Genomic DNA, 21,963 nt, shown 5'->3' on the forward strand with positions numbered 1-21,963 from the left:
CAGGGCATCACCTGTGGGCTCTCTTTCTCAGGGACCACCTAGGTAAATCCACACAGGCGAGGAGAGGACCAGCAGGCACTAAAGCCAGACACACAGCTCTGTCACTAACCCTCAGTGACCAAGGCCCCACTGTCACTAAGCACATAGCAGCGGGGAGGGGTTTGCCAGCTGCATGGCCAGAGGAGGCGGGGAAGGGGAGGGAATTGGAGGGCCTCGGGGGGCGAGGGCAGGAGAAGCGCGGACCCTCCAGATGTGCTGTTTCTTTCTCTGCTGCAGTAACCCGAGAGCCTATCTATCTCTTTTTAATGTTCTGCTGTTTTCTTTCGTCGTACACTTAACCGCACAGAAAATAAGCCCTAGGGCTGAAAACTCCAGCTTGTCGTGGTGCTGGCAGTGGTGTGCGCTCTTCCACATCTGGGTGCAGCCTAAGCCTCTTGTCCGGTTCTGCCCTCAGCCTCCACACCACGTGCCCAGTCCCACATATCCAGAGCCCCCTGCCTGGTTATTCTCCAAGCAGTCCCAGCACCGCCTGCTTGGCAGCCTCAGGTTGTTGGCCTCTGGGTTTCCAGGGGCCCTTATATTTTATTATTCCTTTGACAAAGTCATGGGACTCCCTAAGTAAGGAGAGACCCCTGCCCACTCACACCTCTCGCATCAGCTGTCCATGAGGGGCTCCAAGGCTGTGCGGGGAAGAAGACAGACTGTGTTAGATTGAAAATGAGTATTTTTATTTACATGTGATGGAATCGAGCCTCTCACTTCCCGGCCCAAGTCATGCCCACGGTTACCCTGTGTCACCCTGGGCTAGACAGTGAGCTCTGGGAGGGCAGTGGGCTGCCTGCTGTCGGACGACCGTGCCTAGACAGGGCACAACGAAGAGATTCAAGTAATAAAGGGGCAGAGGGAGAGGTAGCAGCTGCCGTCCGGCACAGGGCTGCCCCTCAGAATGTGACACTAATATGGCACTGGGACCATCGGCAGCTCCTCCGCCCTTCCCATCACAGCCCCGGAAGTCCCATTGTACCTCCATTGGAACGAGAGCCCATCAGTCCCGCCAGCCTGCAGGGAAGAGTCTGATGCCCCTCGTGACATCACCGAGCTCTCCCGACTCCCTAGCGGCCTGCTGCTGTTGACCCTGCTTCCTGAAGGTGCCCCGAGTCTCCATAAGGCACAGGCTTCTCTCCCCGCACCATGCTCCCTGTTTCTTACGGCAGGTCCCACACCACTTTGTCCACCTCTGGTCGGACATTATGAGCCAAAACCTTTATCCAGAACACGATGTAGGTAGGAGAAAGAGAGGTTGCAGCAGAGTAAATGACCCAGTCACAGAACACGTGGCCAGATGGCCCCGCAGAGCACTCACCGGCTGAGAGTGGCCGGAGGGTGGTGGCCGGTACAGCAGTGTACCCAGTGCAGTCCACCACGCCCGCACTTGTCTGGCAGCAGAGTTGAGCGGCACTTCCAGGCCCCAGGAACCACGGGCACTTCCTCCTGAAACTGGGGTGGCTACAGCTGAAGCTGAGAAGAGCAACCAGCCTGCTGCTATTTCTGAAGGAGCCCAGTGTGGTTACTCAGTGTGCTGTAATTAAACTCATCTATAATTTGATAAGTGGGAGTAGCCTTACATTTTAGAGAGTAATTAAGTCTCACCAAAGGAGAAGCACATGGTGCTTCTGGGACCCAGCATCTCCTGAGGTTGGTCCCCATTCACTCTCCCTGTCTCTACACATCTCCACAGATGCTGAGGCCGCCAGGGTAGGCCTCAGCCACAGCTCTCTCCACCCTCAGGCATTCCATCGACATCCAGGCCCCTGGGAGATAGCACAGACACTGCAGACACACGTGCGACGAGACAGGGAAGCCTGGGCCTCCCTTTCCAGGCTGCTCCGCGAAACTGCGGACTAGGAGGAAGCTGGCTGTCCTGCTTGCCTGCCTGCCTGCCTGCCTGCCTGCCGCTCCTTCGCCACGTGCAAGGCGAGGTTCTGACTGCGCTGAGTCCAGCCCAGCTCTGGGCCCCAGTGTGGAGACTGAGGCAGCCTGAGGGTAAAGGAAGGGGCTGCGGGTATAGAAGTCAGATGGGGCTGGGTGCAGTGGCTCACGCCTGTAATCCCAGCACTCTGAGAGGTCGAGGCAGGTGGATCACCTGAGGTCAGGGGTTCGAGACCAGCTTGGCCAACATAGCGAAACCCCATCTCTACTAAAAATACAAAAAAAAAAAAAAAAATTTAGCCAGGCATGGCGCACACCTGTGATCCCAGCTACTCGGGAGGCTGAGGCAGGAGAATTGCTTGAACCTGGGAGGCAGAGGTTGCAGTGAGCTGAGATCACACCACTGCGCTCCAGCCTGGGTGACAGATTGAGACTCTGTCGCAAAAAAAAGAGAAGCCAGATAGCCGAGGTCTGGATCTTGTGGGGTCTGGATCTTGTGAGGTCTGGATCTTGCAGGGTCTATATCTTGAGGGGTCTGGATCTTGCGGGGTCTGGATCTTGTGGGGTCTGGATCTTGCGGGGTCTGGATCTTGGCTCTCTCGTTTCCTGGCTCTGTGATTTTGGGCAAATGACTTCACCTCCCTGAGGCTCAGTTTCCTTATTTGTAAAATGCAGACAATGGCACCGCCTAAGATATAATCCGTTTATGCAGATCAGATGAGAGATTTGCCACGAACTCACTTGAGTAGTTGGGAGGGGCACGTGCATGTGAGGAGTGTCAGCATCTCACCAAAGCTAGTAAACCTGTCTCAGAGCGCTTGGCGGCTTGAGGGGAACTCTAAAGACCATTCAGCCTGGTGTGTGTCATCAAGAATGAGGGATTGGATAACCACAGCTGAAACCTGTTCAGACAGCGAGGAGATGGAAATCTTGTCAAATGGGAGACCTGAGCTCTTAAACCTGACTTGGCCACTTCCAAATATCTGGAAGTCTATTTCAGAAGAGTTAAATTATTCTGTGCAGGTCTGGGTCATAACCAGGTGCCAAAAACATTAAGTGAGGTGGTAGATTTCGGCTCAGTCTTTGGATAAACGTTTCTGAACCAAGGAAATGGCTTCTTAGGAAGTAATGCACCCCCTGTCACTGGAGGGCTTCAAGCCCTGGCTAGCAGGCTCCTCATCCGGGAGCCTGGGAGTCAGGCATGATGATGGCTGAGTCCCCTTTCCTCCCCTGGGGTTGTGGGGGTCCTGGCAGCCTGTCCCAGCCCTGGTCCCTTGCTCAACAGCTGCCCACCCCGTGCCTCCGAATGCGCCACTCGCAAGTCACCCTTCCTTAGTGCCCGCACACACCAGAGAGGCCTCATATACTGTGGGGTTGTTTCATCTCCCCCAGAGCACCAGAGCCCCTCAGCCCTCTTGCTCTGTCTCTTTGAGCAGAAATCATCACTAACTTCTCAAGCACGGCGCTCATATAACCCTCAAGCCCTTTGAGGGCAGCTCCAGAATCCAGCTCTGCCTGCTTGGTCTTTGAATTCCTAGAGCCTGCTCTCGGGAATGGCCTTGACAGAGCCGACTTCCCGCTGGAAGGATACTGGGGGCTCCTCCAGCACATTCTCTCACAGGGGGCAGCACTTAGAGCCCAAAACGGGAAGGGAAGGAGGGTCTGGCTCGAGTGGCAGGACCCCATGGTTGCTACTGTGCGTAGGCTGAGAGTCTCCTCGCTGTTACGTAACTGAGGACTTCTTCCCTCCCTATTTTAGATCCTGCTGCCATCTGCCCTGATTTTCCGCATCACCAGCTCTGGGCTGGAGGTTAGATCTGGCTGGACACCCAGCTCTACCCCTCACTTGGTGACAGACTTGGGAAAGCCTGTTTCTGCAAAATAAGATAACCCCACCCTGCCTATCCTGCCTGGGTTGCTGTGAGAATCAGGTGAGAGGAAGCTGTGGTGGCTGGGTAGCAGGACCTGCACTTGGCCCCTGTGCCTGGTTGCTGTCTGGCCAACCCAACCTGGGGCTGCCTGAGCCAGGGGAGCCTCTGCTTGCTCATGTCGGCTCCTATATCAACACAGTTTGCACAGGTTTGCAGAGCCAGGCCCTGTTCGAAATACAGGCAGTGAACAGACCTCACAAATGGGGAGTCTTTGTCAGACCCCCTGCCATGGGTGGCAAGGGTGCAGACCTAGCAGCTTGTGACAGGCGGGGCCAGGCTGGCTGTCACCTGCTCACACAGCCTCTTGGCCCCGGGTGGAATGCTAAGCACAGCAGGTGCTCTGTAACAAGGCACTGTCAGGCGCATCTTGCAAGAAGCCCTTGCCCAGCCTCCAACCATCAGGGGATGGGTTTGTGCTGGCTGGAGTCACCAGACCATAGGTCCGCACAGGCAAAGGCCTCCTTCCTACTTACTCTGACAAGAAGGAGCGGCTCTCTGCCAGCAGACAAGCAGTGAGGGTCTAGGTGCCTGGTGACCCCAACTGGCTTTGCTTCCAGGGCTGTTGCGAGCCACAGTGTTATGTGATAGTGAAGAGTGCCACTCAGGAGACTTTTGTTCTGGCCCTGGTCCTGCCGTGGATTTACTGTGACACTGAGTGAGTCACTTTCCTTCTTTGGGCCTCAGTTATGTCATCTATAAAATGGGAATATACACCTGTTTTGTCCTCTCACTCTTTTTTTGTTTTGTTGTTGTTGTTTTGTTTTTTGAGACAGAGCCTCACTCTGTTGCCCAGGCTGGAGTGCAGTGGCATGATCTCGGCTCACTACAACCTCTGCCTCTGGGTTCAGTCGATTCTCCCTGCCTCACCCTCCCGAGTAGCTGGGGTTACAGGCGCCCACCACCACGCCTGGCTAATTTTTGTGCTTTTAGTAGAGACAGGGTTTCACCACGTTGGCCAGGCTGGTCTTGAACTCCTGACCTCAGGCGATCCGACCGCCTGGGCCTCCCAAAATGCTGGGATGACAGGTGTGAGCCACCGCGCCCGGCCACGCACTCTGGTAAAGACGAAAACTACGTCCTGCGCCCCGGTAGGTTCTAAGCTGCCGGAAAGTGAATGGTGAATATGAGGTTTGAGTTAGCACTGGAGTTATTTGGAGGGATGGTAGCCTGGGCTTTTCAATCACTGGAAACGATTAAAAGCCAGAACAACCTGCACAGGCCGGCCCAGCAGTTCTAGCTTACTCAGAAGATCCCAGTAGACGCACATGCAGCTTCTCTGACGTTCGGGTCTGCTGATGGGGACCCAGAGTATGTGGCCCTCCTTCCTCTAGTTCCCAGGCAGGGACGCACACGTGCAACTCCAAGGCTCCATCTATTTTCCTTTAATAAACTTCAGCACGGACACAAATTCGCCCAACATGTAAAAGTGCAATTCCGAAAGGATCCTGCTAGAACAAGGTCCACGGTACAAAAGCATCCTATGGTTATGTAACTGCAGCGGCCACCAAGCGTCCCCCTCTGGGCTCTGGAGGGTTTCGGCCCTGCCTGCCTCCCCCCCTCCTCCTGGGGCAGCTGGGACAGGGGACCCCTGTTTGAAGACAGCGGGGACAACGGCCCGGGAGGCAGCTGAATTGCCCATTGTGAGGCCCTTCTTCCTTGGCACTGCCTGAACCCCGTAGCCCACTCCGGCTGCCCGGGCTCTTCTGCCTTCTCCTGGCACCAGCCTCCGGGCCCGGGCCAGCTGCTAGGAGAGCGAGAACACTGTTTCTGAAGGGTGCTGCTTGCTTCTTTGTTCCCGGTTTCCGAAGCGCGAATCCCGAACGCCGTGAGAAACCTCAGGCTCGGGCGGCAGCGCGGGAGTCTGGGGCGCTGGAGGCCGGCGCCGGCTGCGGAGGAGGAGCGCCCTCTAGCGGCAGGTCCGCCCAGGGAGAGGCGGAAACGCGGAGTCTGATTCGAAGGCGGGCACTGGGGACCCTGCCCCGGGCCGAAAGCCCCCTGGAGGACAGTGGTGTTTGGCTTCGGTCCCAACATACAGGCCCTGGGCAGTCGCAGGGATGGCAGCTTTCAAACTGAAACCCAAGAAGTGATCATGCAGACCCTGCCTCAAGTGGCATCACTTCTTAATTGAAAAGAGGCCGAGGCGAGGCGGGAATGAAGGCCACGCTGAAGCCCTGCAGAACAGGGGTGTGTGTGTGTGTGTGTGTGTGTGTGTGTGTGTGTGTGTGTGTGTGTGTGTGTGTGTGTGTGTGTGTGTGTACATGTGTGTAAGGTGTGTGTGTGTGTGTGTGTGTGTGTGTGTGTGTACATGTGTGTAAGCACCACGTGAGGCAAGCAGGGACCCCAAATCCACTGCTAGGGGAGATGCCACAGTGCCCTGCCATGGCACCACTGCTCGTGCCAAGCCTGCCCCATCGACACCGGCCCCACCCAAGGCAAAACCAAGCAGACCCAAACCAGTAACAACTTATCCCCTTAGCCAGAGAGCACCTCCACACAAGTCTATCCTGAGTCCTAAAAGAGGATGGAAAAATCTCAAGTAAAAATCTCATGCCTGTAATCCCAGCACTTTGGGAGGCCAAGGCAGGCGGATCACTTGAAGTCGGGAGTTCGGGACCAGCCTAGCCAACATGGTGAAACCCCATCTCTACTAAAAATACAAAAATTAGCCCGGCATGGTGGTGGGTGCCTATAACCCCAGCTACTTGGAAGGCTGAGGCAGGAGAACCGCTTGAACCAGGGAGGCGGAGGTTGCAGTGAGCGGAGATGGTGCCATTGCACTCCAGCCTAGGGGACTGAGCAAGACTGTGTCTGGAAAAACAAAAATCTCCAGAAACATTCCCACCCCCTCCATACAGCCAGCTCTGAGTCACTGGCTGCTGGCTGGCCAGTCACACAGCACCATGGACATGCAGAGGTACCAGTGGGCACTTGGTGTGTGCTGCCCAGATGAGGACACAGAGTTAGTCAGAAGATTCTCGGGCAAATGGATCCAAAACAGTCCTGGAATGCAAATGTGAAGTATTTCCACAGCCGTGGCAGGAACACATAACTGGCACTATTTATAAGCGATAAAAGGGTTATTTCATGCATCCTCTTTAAGCTGCAAATGCTTCATTTACAAAAGAAAAAAACCTGTCCTTTTCATTCATGAGACTGGCTTAAGGATCAAATGAGATCTGTTTTTAATATAAAGATGTTTTCTTAAAATCTCTGTATGAAATTATCTCCGGAGAGATAGATTCACCATGTTTGCCCTGAGATTTAGAGGCCTCTGCCTGCCACTCCACACCCTGTTTGTGAAGGCCCAAGTCACTCACTATGCAAAGAAGTCATTCCCTCTAGTTAGTGTTAAAACCAGTTATGGGTCTTCCTGGCATGGTGGATAATCCACACGTGGATAATCAAGAGTTGACTATATGGGTTCCTCCCTCCCCTCCCCTTCCACCAGGGATCCCTGACAGAGGCCACAGCGAGACTCTTCAGCGGATGTAGATCATGTCGGAGATGGCTCCAGGCAAGTGGGTCATGATCTGCATTCGCAGCCACCAGTAGTAGTCCATGGGGTGGTAGCGGGTGTAGGGGGTGGTGGCGGTCAGGGCGTGTGTGACAGCATCGATGACAGGGGACGTGTCTGTGGAGCCACTGCTGCAGTAGGTCTCCATCTTGGCGATCTTTTCATCAAAGTACTTCTTGCCGTAGTCCTTGCGCACGACCTCAGGCAGCTCCTCCCACATCTTCTTGGCGATGGCCTGAATGCTCTCAGGGCTGTAAAGGCTGGTGGCAGCGATGAAGTTGCCGGGCTCCACCACGCTGACCTTCACGCCCAGGGGGTACATCTCATAGCGCAGGCAGTCCGAGAAAGCCTCTACCCCGAACTTGGTGATGCAGTACGGGGAGCGGGCCGGGTTGGCCATGCGGCCCAGCATGCTGCTGATATTGACGACGCGGCCTACAGAGGGAGACAGAGGTACCTGCTAAGCCGTTACTGCCCTATGACACAGCGGGCAGAAGTCTGGCATGTCTCTAGAGGCTTGGCTGGAACCACTTCTGAGCCACCCAGGAGCCTTCTCAGTCAATAGGCAAGGCCAGCTCAGGCCCACGCATCAGCATCGGCACCCCTGGTCTTCCCTGGGAACCTGGCTGTGCCAGGCAGGACAGGGGAGGACAAGTGAGTGAGAAGCAGCAGGGCACAGTGTAATGGGCAACACGCAACTGACTCAAAAACCAGATCAAGCCCGATGCGGTGATAATTTGGGGTGAAAACACGAGGGGAGAAGTGGGAGGCGAGACAGCTGTCTGTGTGGATCTGAGCTTTCACTATAGGCAAGGTCTGGTGCTGGTGAGGGAGAAATACAGCCTGAAAGCTTCCCCTTCCCCTTATGGAGCTTAAAGTCCAGCTCCAGTAGTACGACGTGCAGATAAGTAGCACACTAGGGCCAAGTGTCTAGCCACTGACAGCAGCCCTGGCGATGGGGGTTGGAGTGCAGACGAGGAAGTACCTGGGGCTGCAGCTGGGAGGGAGCCCCGGGACAGCCCTGAAAGAGGACAGGACCCGTGCTGTTAGGCCCAACTCCCCAACTCCATTCCACCCTGGTAGGGTGGAGCCTGGGTGGAGACCAGGACCGCCTGGCAAACAGAGCAGCAGGCAGGGGCAGGGGCAGGATTTCTGAACCTGACTTCAGGGCTAGGATATGAGGAGAGAGTCCTGGGCACTGGGAGAGTGTGGTGATCCCCCTCCAAAGGCCACAGGCCCAGCCTGGGGGCATCAGGGGCCTCCCACAGCTCCTCCTGGCCCTGGGAACAGAGGGGTTGGAAGTGGATTGCATTTGGCCCAGCCCGGGAAGCCGAGGCGGATCTGGGACCAGTTTTCCTGGGAGGGAACTCAGCCCATCCAGGTGTGTCCCGGGGAGGGCACTCAGCCCATCCAGGTGTGTCCCCGGGAGGGCACTCAGCCCATCCAGGTGTGCCCCCGGGAGGGCACTCAGCCCATCCAGGTGTGCCCCCGGGAGGGCCCTCAGCCCATCCAGGTGTGCCCCCGGGAGGGCACTCAGCCCATCCAGGTGTGCCCCCGGGAGGGCACTCAGCCCATCCAGGTGTGTCCCCGGGAGGGCACTCAGCCCATCCAGGTGTGTCCCCGGGAGGGAACTCAGCCCATCCTGGGGGAGGCACCTTTCAGAAAGCTCTAAATTTGAAGTCACTGAAGGGTTGGGGTTTCCATCTAAAATCCTACAGCTGCAGTCTGTGTTCATGCTTGTTGTTGCTAGGACTTCACCATAGATGTATGGATCTTACCCTTTTTGCCACAATTGTTTGCTATGCCAGAGAAAAAAATCCAAGTCAATGACTTCTAAAGTGGTTTGCTCACATTTGGCCACCCACATGGTTTGGGTGTTTTGTTGGTTTTCCAAATTTCTAATCTTGATTTTTACTATTGTTCCCTAATACCACAATGATCTCATTTTTTAAACTACGATATAAATAACCCATAGAATGAATATGCCAGATTTTACTAACCACACCTGACTGATACAAAGATGTGTACACACAGCTTTGTGCAAAGGGTGATTCTCTCTATAGATTAGGTGTGCAGAGTGGATGGCTGCTCAACTCTTTAAGCTTTTGCTGCATGGACCACTGACCTCTTACCTGCTCTGCTTCCTCCTCCCCTACCCGGCCACAGCCCCTCTGCCCACCATCACCCCAGGCCCAGCATAGTCCCTGGGATTCACGAGCTCACCTCTGCTGAGTTGTGGACATTGGAGCTGCTGGGACAGGTATTTCCATTCTGAGCAAAGATGAACACGTGGGGCAGGTTCAGGGGCAGGAGGGAGCTCCCTTTCCCACTCACCTTTGGCCCTTCGGATGAGGGGGAGAAAGGATTTCGTCATCCGCACTGTGCCCCAAAGGTTCACTTCTGCCACCTGCTTGTAGGTCTCCAGGCTGGTGAACTCCACCTCCCCGAACGTTGAGATGCCGGCATTGTTAACGAGGCCCCACATGCCTGGACAGGAGAGGGATAGATGTGCATTTACCACATGGGCTTGGCCCAGACATTGCCCATCAGCCTGCAGGCCAGCCTCCTCTCTGCTTCTTTCCTGTGACTTCCCAGCCTCTCGCCCAGTGCTCTCAAGAAACTTTCTAGAGTCACTCAGGAACGACAGGAGGTAAAGAGGCCTAAAGTGCTGACTGCAGCCCTCCCTTGCGTCTAGAATGTCCAGTCCTCACGTCACATCTGCCTGGCTCGAGTCTCTGGGCCCATCATGACCCAGCCTGCCGTGTCCCCCGGCCTTCAGTCTCACCTCACCTCAAATTCCCACTTCCACTCCACTCCACCCCATCCCATCCCCACACCCTGAGTTTGAGTTTCACGCCCCGTTCCTGTTTACTCATCTCTGCCCTTGAGCTTTTGCTCACGTCTTCTCTTCTCTTGCCAGAAGCCAGGGAAATCACAGGGGAGGTGGGCACGAGGAGGCAGCTGTGTTTTGCAGGGACCTCTCTGAGTTCAGTTTGTTGGGGTGCAAAGGCTGGATGGGTCAGAGCCTCAGGACAGAGCTGGGCCCTGCCTCTTTGTTGTGGAAACCCTCAGTGTTTGGTCTCCCGGGCCGATAGCCCCGTGCTCCTTCCCAAGGCACAGCCTCAGAGCAGAGCTCCCATCCTGGGGCCCTCCCCTGCCTGTGGGAACTCGGCGCTGCTTTATTTTCCAAGTTAATCATGGAAATGAGTTTGTGTAAATGACAGAGTAATTGGTCTCTAGCTGCTTTCCTTCCGTGTTACCCAAATTAAAGCTTCATTCACTGCCCTCTGGTGCCTTCTCCTTCAATTATGGAGAATTAAGGGCATTTATTAGGGAAAGGAAATTGCTGGTTAACAGAGTGTCCATGAAGAGCTCACTCCCACTCTCCACCAAAGCCTTGCGGGTGTCTCCCTGCTCTAGGTCTCACCTGTGACCTCGCTCAGATGCTAATGACAGGATCAGCGTCATCCACGACCCCACAGCTCCCACTGTCTCCCTGCAGACGCGCCCTGAGTCTTCACCTTCTTCTCTTCCCAGGAGGAGCAGCAGGCCACTCCCCACCCGTCATGGCTGACACTTCCACGTCATCTTCGAGACCATAGCCACTGATCCTTCTCTCTCTTTTACACAATTTCAGCTTTTCCACTGCCCATGACTCCATCCCTTCAGTTCTATACACATTAGGAGCTCAACAAATGTGTGTTAGATGAATGAGTGTCCACAAATACCGCATTTCCATATCCCGAAGATCCTTCTGTAACTGTGCTACCTGCTCTCCCTCCCTCCACGCCAGGCTTCCAAGAACTCTATCCTGTAATACAAAGATTAGCCGGGTGTGGTGGCGGGCACCTGTAGTCCCAGCTACTCGGGAGGCTGAGGCAGGAAAATCTCTTGAACCCAGGAGGCAGAGGTTGCAATGAGCCGGATCATGCCACGGCACTCCAGCCTGGGTGACAGAGCACGCACACACACACACACACACACACGCGCGCGCGCGCGCTCTATCCTCTCCATCTCCCTTCCATACCACACTGGGTCCCAGCCCTCAGCTGTCCTGACCACGCAGTCTCCAGGGTCTCCAGGGTGGTACACCAAGGACCTCACCCCCAGTCTTCACTCTCCTCAGGCTCGCTACGATATGAGTACTGCCAGTACTCCTTGAGGCTCACCTCTCCCTCAGCATTAGTGATACCCAGGCATCTCCTGCATCTTCCCTGACACCTTTCTTTCACCTGCCCCCAGATACAAGTGGCCCCCAATGTCCTGGCCTAATCCTGCTCCTCTCAAAGTACACTTAACTCTTAGGTGTCCTCATCTTCTTCATGTTTGTGAATTTTGCAGCCGTTTTGTGTTTGATTCATAACGGACAATATCCCATGACTTAAAATGCATACAGCCCTTTCTCTACCTAAAAATAAAACAATGACATTTGACGCTACTATCCAAAAAAGTTTAATGAAACATGACCTGTGAAAGTGCACAGCCCCTGGATTACAGCTTTAATGAGTGTTGAGAGTGGTGGACCTAGTTGCCATCTGGAATCCTCAGCCAATGTTCTGAATAAACTCACGGAGGCATGCCCGCTGGTTGGGTGACAGCAACTTTCCTGTAACATCCCCAAGATCGCCTCCGCACCAGTGGCCCCTCAGTTCTCCTTGGGAGTCACGGCTCTCTCTCCTCATCCCATCTCCTGTCTCGCTTCCACCTGAATGTCCCACGGGTCCCTGACTCACCCTAACCACAACCAACACGTCAAGTTTCCAAGCTGCCCAAGCCTGCTCCTCCTCTTTGTTAATGATTTTACTTTTGTCTGTGACTCCTCCAGCTCCTCCACCCCTCCCCCACCTACTGAGTCACCCAGTACTGCTAATATTACAGCTCAAGATCAACATGACAGCTGGCAGACCCCTAATCAAGCCCTTTACATTCATTAACTTCCCTGATCCTCACAACCACCCTGGAAAATAGATCCTAAATTGTCTCATATCCGGTTGAGGCAACTGAAGCTCAGAGAGGTTAAGCACCTTGGTCAATGTCACCCAGCTAACAGGCAGGGAGGGTGGGATTTGGACCCAGATCTCTCTGAGGACAAAGTCCCCACGCCCCAGGCTGTTGCTGGTTTCCTCTGCTGGGTCAGTTCTTCCTTCCTGTTTCCACTAGCATTCCCTTGGGTCCTCGCTGCCTGTCTCCTGGGCTGCTGGAGAAGCCTCCTGGGTCTGTTTGTCTCACTCACTCCTCCACCTCCGTCTTCACCCCACCCCTCAGGCAGACCCATCAGTCACTTCCTGCTCTATGGTCTCCATCCCCCCTCAGGCCGACCCCCGCATCAGTCATTTCCTGCTCTATGGTCTCCATCCCCCCCTCAGGCCGACCCCCGCATCAGTCATTTCCTGCTCTATGGTCTCCATCCCCCCCTCAGGCCGACCCCATCAGTCACTTCCTGCTGTATGTCTCCATCCCCTCCTCAGGCTGACCCCCCCACCCCATCAGTCATTTCCTGCTCTATGGTCTCCATCCCCCCTCAGGCCGACCCCCTCATCAGTCATTTCCTGCTCTATGGTCTCAATCCCCCTTCAGGCCGACCCCCCCATCAGTCACTTCCTGCTCTATGGTCTCCATCCCCCTTCAGGCCGACCCCCCCATCAGTCACTTCCTGCTCTATGGTCTCCATCCCCCCTCAGGCCGACCCCCCCAATCAGTCACTTCCTGCTCTATGGTCTCCATCCCCCTTCAGGCCGACCCCCCCATCAGTCACTTCCTGCTCTATGGTCTCCATCCCCCCTCAGGCCAACCCCCTCATCAGTCATTTCCTGCTCTATGGTCTCCATCCCCCTTCAGGCCGACCCCCCCATCAGTCACTTCCTGCTCTATGGTCTCCATCTCCCCCTCAGGCTGACCCCCCCAATCAGTCACTTCCTGCTCTATGGTCTCCATCTCCCCCTCAGGCTGACCCCCCCCATCAGTCACTTCCTGCTCTATGGTCTCCATCTCCCCCTCAGGCTGACCCCCCCCAATCAGTCACTTCCTGCTCTATGGTCTCCATCTCCCCCTCAGGCTGACCCCCCCAATCAGTCACTTCCTGCTCTATGGTCTCCATCTCCCCCTCAGGCTGACCCCCCCCATCAGTCACTTCCTGCTCTATGGTCTCCATCTCCTCATCAGGCTGACCCCCCCCAATCAGTCACTTCCTGCTCTATGGTCTCCATCCCCCCTCAGGCCGACCGCCCCCCATCAGTCACTTCCTGCTCTATGGTCTCCATCTCCCCCTCAGGCTGACCCCCCCAATCAGTCACTTCCTGCTCTATGGTCTCCATCTCCCCCTCAGGCTGACCCCCCCCAATCAGTCACTTCCTGCTCTATGGTCTCCATCTCCCCTCAGGCCGACCCCCCCCCATCAGTCACTTCCTGCTCTATGGTCTCCATCCCCCCTCAGGCCGACCCCCCCCATCAGTCACTTCCTGCTCTATGGACTCCATCCCCCCCTCAGGCCGACCTCCCCGATCAGTCACTTCCTGCTCTATGGTCTCCATCTCCCCCTCAGGCTGACCCCCCCGATCAGTCACTTCCTGCTCTATGGTCTCCATCCCCCCCTCAGGCCGACCCCCCCGATCAGTCACTTCCTGCTCTATGGTCTCCATCTCCCCCTCAGGCTGACCCCCCCAATCAGTCACTTCCTGCTCTATGGTCTCCATCCCCCCTCAGGCCGACCCCCCCCATCAGTCACTTCCTGCTCTATGGTCTCCATCCCCCCTCAGGCTGACCCCCCCCATCAGTCACTTCCTGCTCTATGGACTCCATCCCCCCTCAGGCCGACCCCCCCCCATCAGTCACTTCCTGCTCTATGGACTCCATCCCCTCCTCAGGCCGACCCCCCCCATCAGTCACTTCCTGCTCTATGGTCTCCATCCCCTCCTCAGGCCGACCCCCCTCATCAGTCACTTCCTGCTCTATGGTCTCCATCCCCCCTCAGGCTGACCTCCCCGCCCCATCAGTCACTTCCTGCTCTATGGTCTCCATCCCCCCCTCAGTCACTTCCTGCTCTATGGTCTCCATCCCCCCTCAGGCCGACCCCCCAATCAGTCACTTCCTGCTCTATGGTCTCCATCCCCCGCTCAGGCACCCCCCATCAGTCACTTCCTGCTCTATGGTCTCCATCCCCTCCTCAGGTGGATCCCCCCATCAGTCACTTCCTGCTCTGTGGTCTCCATCCCACAGCATGGTAGGCCAGGCCTTTTCCAAGCTTCTCCCTTACTCCTCCACATATGTTCTGCTGCCTGTCAGCCTGCGAGCAGCTTGTGTTGAAATTCTTCCCATGCTCTTGTAGTGGTCTGATCCAGGCATGAGTGCTGGACGGCTCAGAGCACTCTCCCACTTCACAGATGGGCAAGCTGAGACCCACACAGGGGGCAGGTGCAAGCCCAAGATCACATTTCTAATAAGTGAAGCCCAGGTCAGGCGTGGTGGCTCAGGCCTATAATCCCAGCACTTTGGGAGTCCAAGGCAGGTGGATCACCTGAGGTCAGGAGTTTGAGACCAGCCTGGCCAACCTTGTGAAACCCCTTCTTTACTAAAAAAAAAAAAAAAATTAGCTGGGCATGGTGGCAGGCGCCTGTAATCCCAGCTCCTCGGGAGGCTGAGACAGGAGAATCACTTGAACCCGGGATGTGGAGGTTTCAGTGAGCCGAGATCGCACCATTGCACTCCAGCCTGGGCGGCAGAGTAAGACTCTGTCTCAAAAAAATTAATTAATTAATTAATTAATGTTGACTGACTGACTGGTAAGTGATGTGCCAAGATCAGGCCATGCCCACGGCCTGCTCTCGGGCCCACTGGCTCGGTGTCCCCTGGGGTGGGGACAGGGAGGGCTGGTCCCAGGCTCCAGATGTCCTGTCCCTCAGCGTCCTGCGGGGGTCGGGGCCGGTGGCAGATGGCTCTGTGGCTCTCACCAGACAATCTCCTTCATCTCGCCCCCGTGGCTGGCTCCCCGGGCTTTGGCAGCAACTGTTCCACAGAGCCAGGCTGCAGGGCGTCAAACTCGCCAACCAAATGTGCCCCCCCGGTGGAGAAGGGGAAGAGGACCCTTCTGACATGTCCTGCATGGGGTGTGGGTCGGTGGCGGCCACTGCGGGTCGGAACGCTCTGGGAGGGTGCTCCCTGGAGTTCACAGCCGGCATTGCCTGAGGGGGAATTGCCAAGGCAAGGCCAAGACATGGCAGAGTGGCAGAGTGTGGAGGGGAAGCAGGGAGAGGGAGGAGAGGGAGACGGGAAGAAAGCGAGAGCAGGAGATGGGGGACACGCCACTGCATATCTGACGGATGTACTGTTTTCTTCAGACCTAAAAGTCTTCAAATCCTTTTCCAAAAAAAAAAAATGCAGTATCGGTTAAGGAAGTTGATGGTGAGAGGTTCATCCAGCCCTCCGGAATGCCCGGCGTGGGAAAAGCAGCAGGGAAAGGTCTGCGCGTCAGGCTGGTGCTGGGGTTGGAGCCCAGATCCCCGGGCAGGGGGTGAGTGCCTCCCCTCTGTGTGGGCCGGGGCCCACCCTGCCTTGTAGGTTAGGCTGCCTGGCCAGTCCAGTACAGACAATGGAAGTGATTCTGCCCCAGAGTCAGGGGGGCAGGGGACGAGGACCGCCAGCCTGAGCAAGCCGGCCTGGTGCGTTCTCTGCTTGGGTCTCCGGTGATGACGCCTTTCCACGGGCATTTTAGATCACCACAAAACCCACGCTATAATCAAGTGGCTTTATGGTGCCGATGCAGCTGTTTTCCTGCCCAGTAGTTTATGAAGGAAAATATAGCAGCTGCCCAGGGAAGGTGGGAGGGAGGAGAATTTACCGCCAGGGAAGGGCGAAGCAGGCTGCAGGTTCTGAGCCGGTAATCACCCCAGCGGGACCCATCCTGCCTTTTCTTAATGGGCTGGCTCTGCCTGTTAATTATTAAACAGATGTTCAGCGAGAACAGAGAACAGAGAGGCCTGTGAATGGCCTGTTGGGAGGATGGGAGCGACAGTGGGCTGATGAGGTGGCACATCAGAGACAGGCAGAGGAGCGGCATCACCGACAGCCACACACGCAGCCTCTGAGGCAGCTGCTGTGACAGACAGCACATCCATCTGGCTGATACAGGCTCAGCAGAGCTCCCCGCATGGGATCTGGTCACTCCTGCCTTTTCCGCCTCCTTCCCCAGCCACTGAAGTAGCTGCTCCTGAGAGCTGCCCCACCCCATTCTGAGGGAAAGCAGAGGCCTGAATGACGCACACCCTTTCTGCCTGGGCTGTCAGGGAGCTCAAAGGTAAACTTCATAGATTCGCTTCTCCAGATGCTGCTGGGCGGCCCGGCTCCAGGGAGCTCCATCCCCCACTGCTGTATTCTACATGAATGGCACCCCGAGGTTGCAGACAGAGCTCCTCCCACAAGGCCCTCCACTGGCTGAACTGGAAGGATATTTTAGTCCTTATGCTACTGGAACTTTCTGTAGCTTTTGACCCTGTTGGCTACTGGTACTGCCCTCTCCTCCAAACTTTCTGTTGTTTAGCCTCTGGGGAACTGTATCCAACCTCTCTGACAGCTGCCTCTCCCCCTCCTCTGATCCCCGAACACTCACATTCCCAGGGGTCCCTCTGTGCATCTCCCCGACTCCCAGTGTCACCTGCCGTGGGCACCTGCTCTTCTAGCCTGGACATTCCCTCAGGGTGGGCGCTTCAGTGTCTCCCTATCTCCCCACCTGCTCCTGCAGTGCGGGGCACCAGGTGTCCAGGACAGAGACTTCGCGCCTCACCTCATCCCCACATCCAAGTCACCAAGTCCAGGCAGCTTCGCCTTCTCAACACTCCTCGCACCTGACCCTTCCTGTTTCCCAACACCTACCACCCTAGTTCCGGAGTCCAGAACCCATGTTTAACTCCCGCTTTGAATCCACCTTCACATTGCCACTGCCATCCTCAGAGGGAGATTCACAAGTCTCACAATGACCAGGCCATTCCCTCAGGATGACCCCTTCAGTGGCTCCCCAGTGCCATTGGGAGACCAGCCATGTTCCCTCGCCTGGGATCCAAGACCTCCCTCCCCAACCTCCTTTGCTGCCACCCCCTCTGCGTGACCTGACCCATGACTCATATTGAGGTGCCGGCTAATCCCACCACTTGACCAACAGCCCCCGCTACCCTCCCCGTGCTCCTCGAAGCTGTGGTTCCTGCTCTCCCCTCCTCTTGGAACAACCATATCTGCTCTCTGCCACAATCTGCCTTAACTGGCCTATTTCCACTGCGCCCCCATGGCTGGACTGACCCCTCCTTCCTGTGCTGCTCTGCCTCTCTCAATGCACGGCTCCCTGATTTTGAACTCAGTCCTCCGGCTGAACTATGAGGTCCTGGGGACAGAATGTGCCTTGACCATCTTTGTGTCCCTGGCACCCAACCCAGCTCCTGGGCCAGAGGGGGCATCAATGGGCATTGGCTGAACTGACCTGAATCAGTGCGTAGCCACCTAGCACTCCGTGAACTCTGAAATCACCTCCTGACTGTATTTTTCCATTGCCCTATTGCACGTGTATGTTTAGTGTAATCCTCTTCCTCCTACTGTGCAGGAGGAAGAGCCTAAACAATAAGGAAGGGAGTGTGGTGGCAGGATGCCAGCCAGTGGAAGGTGGTGTTCGGCAAGTGCCCCTTGGAATGGCCCCATACACAACCCCTGCCGTCCGAAGGGGCGCCCTACCTTTCTCAGGGTCCTTCAGGCTCGAGCGGACAATCTCCACCACTTTCTCCACCTCTTCGCTGCTGCAGACATTGAGCTGGACGGTTCTCAATCGGTCACTGTTTAGGCTGTCCAGCTCCTTGACCCCATCATGGCCTTTGTCCTGGGGAGGAGAGAAGAGCTGCTTCTACCTCCTTCCTTCCCACCCTGAGGCAGACCCTGAGGACTCCTGTCAAGGCAGGAGCTGGCCTCAAGTCCCAGCCAAAGCCTCAGGCATACTGGCAACTGCCCATGGGCCTGGCCCACCAGCATGCGGTTCTTTTTAATCCTGAGCACTGATGACCTATCAAGCATCAAGCTATGTGCCACAGACACAACCATGAATAGGATGAAGAGCCGGCCCCCAAGGCCTCAAGACAGGATTCCTTCTCCAAGCAGGGGTTGCAAACTTATGTGGGGCAGGCGGGGGCCCTGGGGAGTACAGGACATGTCAGGAATTACCACGTGGGGATGGAAACCCAGGGTTGCCAGATGCTTACATTTTTAAGCTAGTAATTGGGAAATCTCTTCATTCTTTTAAGTGTTGGCAACTTACACACATTTAAAAAAAAAAACAAAAAAACACTGTGAAGGCCAAAGCACGTCCACAGGCCACATAGGACCAGCAGGCTGCCAGTTTGCCACCTCTGTTCTAAGCCAAGGGCCCATCAACTCCAAATTGGTAAGAGGCCAGAGCCAGCCTCTAATCCCAGCTCAGTCACTGAGTAGGCTTTGTGCACTCAGGGGTGTCCCTGAACAGGGGTCCATTTTTTCTGGCTGTAAAACAGGAACATCACCACCTGTCCTGACCTGCTCAGATTAATGGAGTAAGGAAATGGATTTGTAAGAAGCCTGTTAAAGAGTCTAAAGCACCACACAAATTCAGGTACTGCTAAACAGGAGAAAGGCGTCACTCGCTCGGCAAACATTTCTTGGGCCCCTATCGTGTTCCGGCACTGTGCTAGGAACTGGAGGTCAAGATCAATCATTCAGCCCCTGTTCCCAGAGTCGTGTTCTAGGGAAGGAGACAGGTGAGCACGTAAGCGACACAGTGACTGTGTGCTGTATGGAACCTGGCGGGAGGTGGGAGGGGCACAGGAGGGACGGGCAGGGGAGACCTTCCAAAGGCAGTGACAGCTGAGGACATTCACAAGAGGGGGCCGATGGGGACGGGGCACTGTGGGAAGAGATAAGAGGACGCCACCAGAAGCCATTGGTTGCAGGCAGTGCAGACGCATAAGGAGGTGGTGGATGCAGGGCTGGAGAGGAGGGCAGGGGTCTGCTTGTGGGCACTGCCGAGCTGCTGGGGGGCTTTCCTCTAAGTAGACAGCATTTCCCGAGTGTCCACTGTCCTGAGCACTGTGCTAAGTGCTGATGTGCTTTGTCACGTGCACCCTCGTGTCACCAGGCAGGCTGCATTGTCACATTTCATCCTATTCTATGAAACATGGTTTCTTTCACAATAGGGATGAGCTACACTCGATGTGAAAATTAAACATAGTTGGTCATAAATGACTTAATTGGCAGCAATTTTCCTGAATGGTGCATGGCATAGTGACACCTCTTGTAAGAGGACAGGACTAGCAGCCAAGAGTAAAGGGGTAGAGAAATGCCCACTCGCCAGCCAAGGGCTTGCCCATGGCACACACAGCTGCTACTGAAGCAAACATCCCAGGCGCGGGCAAGGGTGGAAAGCCCAGGACGGTCAGCACTTGTCAGGGGTGGAAAGTCCTCCGCTGGTTAGGCTGAGCCTTCTGAATGCTTTCAACCAGAAGAACCCCAACCCCGGGAATGGAGAAATCACATCATGCAATTTCAGAGGGCACAGGAGGAAATGGTGAAGGGACTGCCCAATGGGGCCGGAGGTGCTGGACGTAGTCACCCCGGAGAGAAGACTTGAGTGGAACATGACTGAGGGAGCCAGCTTGTTCCATGCAGCCACAGAGAACAGAGCCAGGACCAAGAAGTCCAGCTCAGCTCAAAATGAGGCGTGATCTTCACAGTCTGGAGATGGCATGAGCTGCCTGGAGGTGTTGAGGCAATGAGTTGGGGTGGGGGGTTGTTTGGAGGTAGGAGGGATGTTTGGGGGTTGGGGGGATGCTTGAGGATGGGGTGTGGGAAAGGTGGTACAGAGACAATCCCGGCATTGGACAGGAGGTCGGGCTGATCTCCCCTACCTAACACCGCTTCCGTTCCTGGACTGTCGTCTTCACCGCCTGGTTTTCCATGGAAAGGAAGCCTCCCCAGTGGCCCTTTGAAAAGGCACTGTGGCGTGGCCCGCTAAGTCTCTGCAGAGGCACCAGGGATGCCTTCGGACACAGCAGCCAGGCCGGAGGCTCGATGGTCTAAAGTTTGGCTCTGAAATCCCCTAGGTGCGCCGACCTTCCCAAACAAGACGCAGGCATGAGATGCACGGGACAGATGGGCCTGGAGCTCAGGCTGTCATTCCCACAGAGGACTCCACCAAGAAAGAACTAATGCATCTTCAGGTCTAGGGTGTGATGACGTGGTGCCTGCAGACCCCTCTCTTCCACAGGCGGCACACAGGTACCAGGAAAACACGTGTCTTGCTTTAATGCAGTCTTCCACCTGGTGGCCCTTCAAATGCCCCTTGGCGTGGAGCTCACATGATCTGAACCTCAGAAAGGTGGATTCTAGCTGACATGCACAAGAGGTATCTAAATGTCCTTCCTCTTGGGACTTGGTTAACCCTGTTGCTATCATTCAGCTCTTCTCAGACCCCTATACAAGACCTCTCTGGTGCCCCTACACAGCATCACGACAAGGTCCCTGCAGTCCTCAGGGGAAACCCCCGACTCCAAGTCAGTAAACTCTTAATTTGGCAGTTTGACAGTGAAGAGTCTTCTTTCAGAGGAAACTAGGGGATTAATCTCACTGCCCACGGCTTCAGGCTCCCGAGGAGAGCAACGCTACCCTCCTATCTTCACTGACAGACCCACCCCAGGAACCCTCACCTGCCTTTGGGCAGCCTCCACACCCTGCTCCTGACAACCACGCCAATAGGGACAGAAACTACCAATTTGCCCCCAGTTATTCAGAGAAATCTTTCCAACCACCCTCAGCCTGCTGGCTGCAGACTCTGGTGGCCTGTCCCCCTCAGGGTCTACCTGTCCTCAGGCCAAGACTGCCCCGCAGGCCACACCACCTCCCTGGACCCAGGGTTTCTGTGCTCCCTCTGCAGGTCTCCGTGCTCCCTCTGCAGGTCTGTGTGCTCCCTCTGCTGGTCTCCGTGCTCCCTCTGCAGGTCTCTGGAGTCTCTGTCCACCTCTGTCTGGCTGCTCAGGGACAAGCTTTTAGTTCCGCTGTGTTGGTGCGTGTGCAACTGGCTTATTGATAAACCCACTTCTTTATCTTACTGTCCCTTTCAACCTCACCTGTAAGCTATTTTTTCCAGCCCTGGATGAAACTTCAGGCAAGTTGTATAGCTTTTCCACTCATTCTCAGACAGTGGACAGAGAGCCTCTTTGTTTTGGCATGAAGAGTCCTGTTCAGTCTCTTAAGCAAATAATTCCAGCCCAGCCTGGTTTGAGAACCCAAACTCCCAAACTTGTATGCGAGGTAAAGCTTTCCCCTGCCCAGCCCTGAGGGCTGTGGGAAGTAGGTGCTGGTGGAGGTTGTCTTTCTCACTGTTTTCTAGCTCCTCTCCCCTCCTATTCTTAACTTCTGACCCTTCCAAGGTTGGATCCGGGGCAGCAAATTAGGGGCAAGACTGTAGTCGTCTGAGGCTGGCTAATGTCTGCTGTTGCTGCCCCTGAGAGAGCAGGTGCACAAAAGCCAGCTCTTCCTTCTTGGGGTGCTTCTGTGGAGTCTACAAAGATTCTGCCACGGAGACCTCCGACT

General features: G+C 55.6%; 1 protein-coding gene and 1 long non-coding RNA gene across 11 annotated transcripts in view, besides 5 other annotated features; both read right to left on the reverse strand.

The window, feature by feature from the left end:
• Nucleotides 1–706: 706 nt before the first annotated feature.
• LINC02012 (long intergenic non-protein coding RNA 2012) lies at nt 707–5,106 on the reverse strand. Its single transcript, NR_145451.1, has one exon. It is a non-coding gene; the product is annotated as a long intergenic non-protein coding RNA 2012 (long non-coding RNA).
• Nucleotides 3,643–3,937: a silencer, noted in NCBI's record as "tiled region #5776; HepG2 Repressive non-DNase unmatched - State 8:EnhW". NCBI's record gives its function as "represses a minimal TATA promoter and a strong SV40 promoter by Sharpr-MPRA in HepG2 cells {active_cell/tissue: HepG2}" and the evidence as "EXISTENCE:reporter gene assay evidence [ECO:0000049][PMID:27701403]".
• A 121-nt stretch (nt 5,107–5,227) lies between the features above and the next one.
• The window catches only part of BDH1 (3-hydroxybutyrate dehydrogenase 1), a 63,561-nt gene continuing 46,825 nt past the window's right edge, over nt 5,228–21,963 (reverse strand). For all 10 annotated transcript variants that reach the window (NM_203315.3, XM_047448679.1, XM_047448680.1 and 7 more), the window contains 3 exons: nt 18,085–18,226; nt 9,709–9,861; nt 5,228–7,809 (listed from right to left, as the gene is read on the reverse strand). In NM_203315.3, coding sequence (NP_976060.1) covers nt 7,340–7,809; nt 9,709–9,861; nt 18,085–18,226 — 765 coding nt within the window. In that variant the 3' untranslated portion in view covers nt 5,228–7,339. The remainder of the gene's footprint in view (nt 7,810–9,708; nt 9,862–18,084; nt 18,227–21,963) is intronic.
• Nucleotides 7,197–7,734: an enhancer, noted in NCBI's record as "H3K27ac-H3K4me1 hESC enhancer chr3:197238623-197239160 (GRCh37/hg19 assembly coordinates)". NCBI's record gives its function as "activates a minimal SCP1, AML or CMV promoter by ChIP-STARR-seq in primed H9 embryonic stem cells {active_cell/tissue: H9 hESC(primed)}" and the evidence as "EXISTENCE:reporter gene assay evidence [ECO:0000049][PMID:30033119]".
• Nucleotides 16,257–16,962: an enhancer, noted in NCBI's record as "H3K4me1 hESC enhancer chr3:197247683-197248388 (GRCh37/hg19 assembly coordinates)". NCBI's record gives its function as "activates a minimal SCP1, AML or CMV promoter by ChIP-STARR-seq in primed H9 embryonic stem cells {active_cell/tissue: H9 hESC(primed)}" and the evidence as "EXISTENCE:reporter gene assay evidence [ECO:0000049][PMID:30033119]".
• Nucleotides 16,963–17,668: an enhancer, noted in NCBI's record as "H3K4me1 hESC enhancer chr3:197248389-197249094 (GRCh37/hg19 assembly coordinates)". NCBI's record gives its function as "activates a minimal SCP1, AML or CMV promoter by ChIP-STARR-seq in naive H9 embryonic stem cells {active_cell/tissue: H9 hESC(naive)}" and the evidence as "EXISTENCE:reporter gene assay evidence [ECO:0000049][PMID:30033119]".
• Nucleotides 19,315–19,814: an enhancer, noted in NCBI's record as "H3K4me1 hESC enhancer chr3:197250741-197251240 (GRCh37/hg19 assembly coordinates)". NCBI's record gives its function as "activates a minimal SCP1, AML or CMV promoter by ChIP-STARR-seq in primed H9 embryonic stem cells {active_cell/tissue: H9 hESC(primed)}" and the evidence as "EXISTENCE:reporter gene assay evidence [ECO:0000049][PMID:30033119]".

Source organism: Homo sapiens, chromosome 3 (assembly GCF_000001405.40).
Source record: "Homo sapiens chromosome 3, GRCh38.p14 Primary Assembly".
Lineage (NCBI taxonomy): Eukaryota > Metazoa > Chordata > Mammalia > Primates > Hominidae > Homo > Homo sapiens.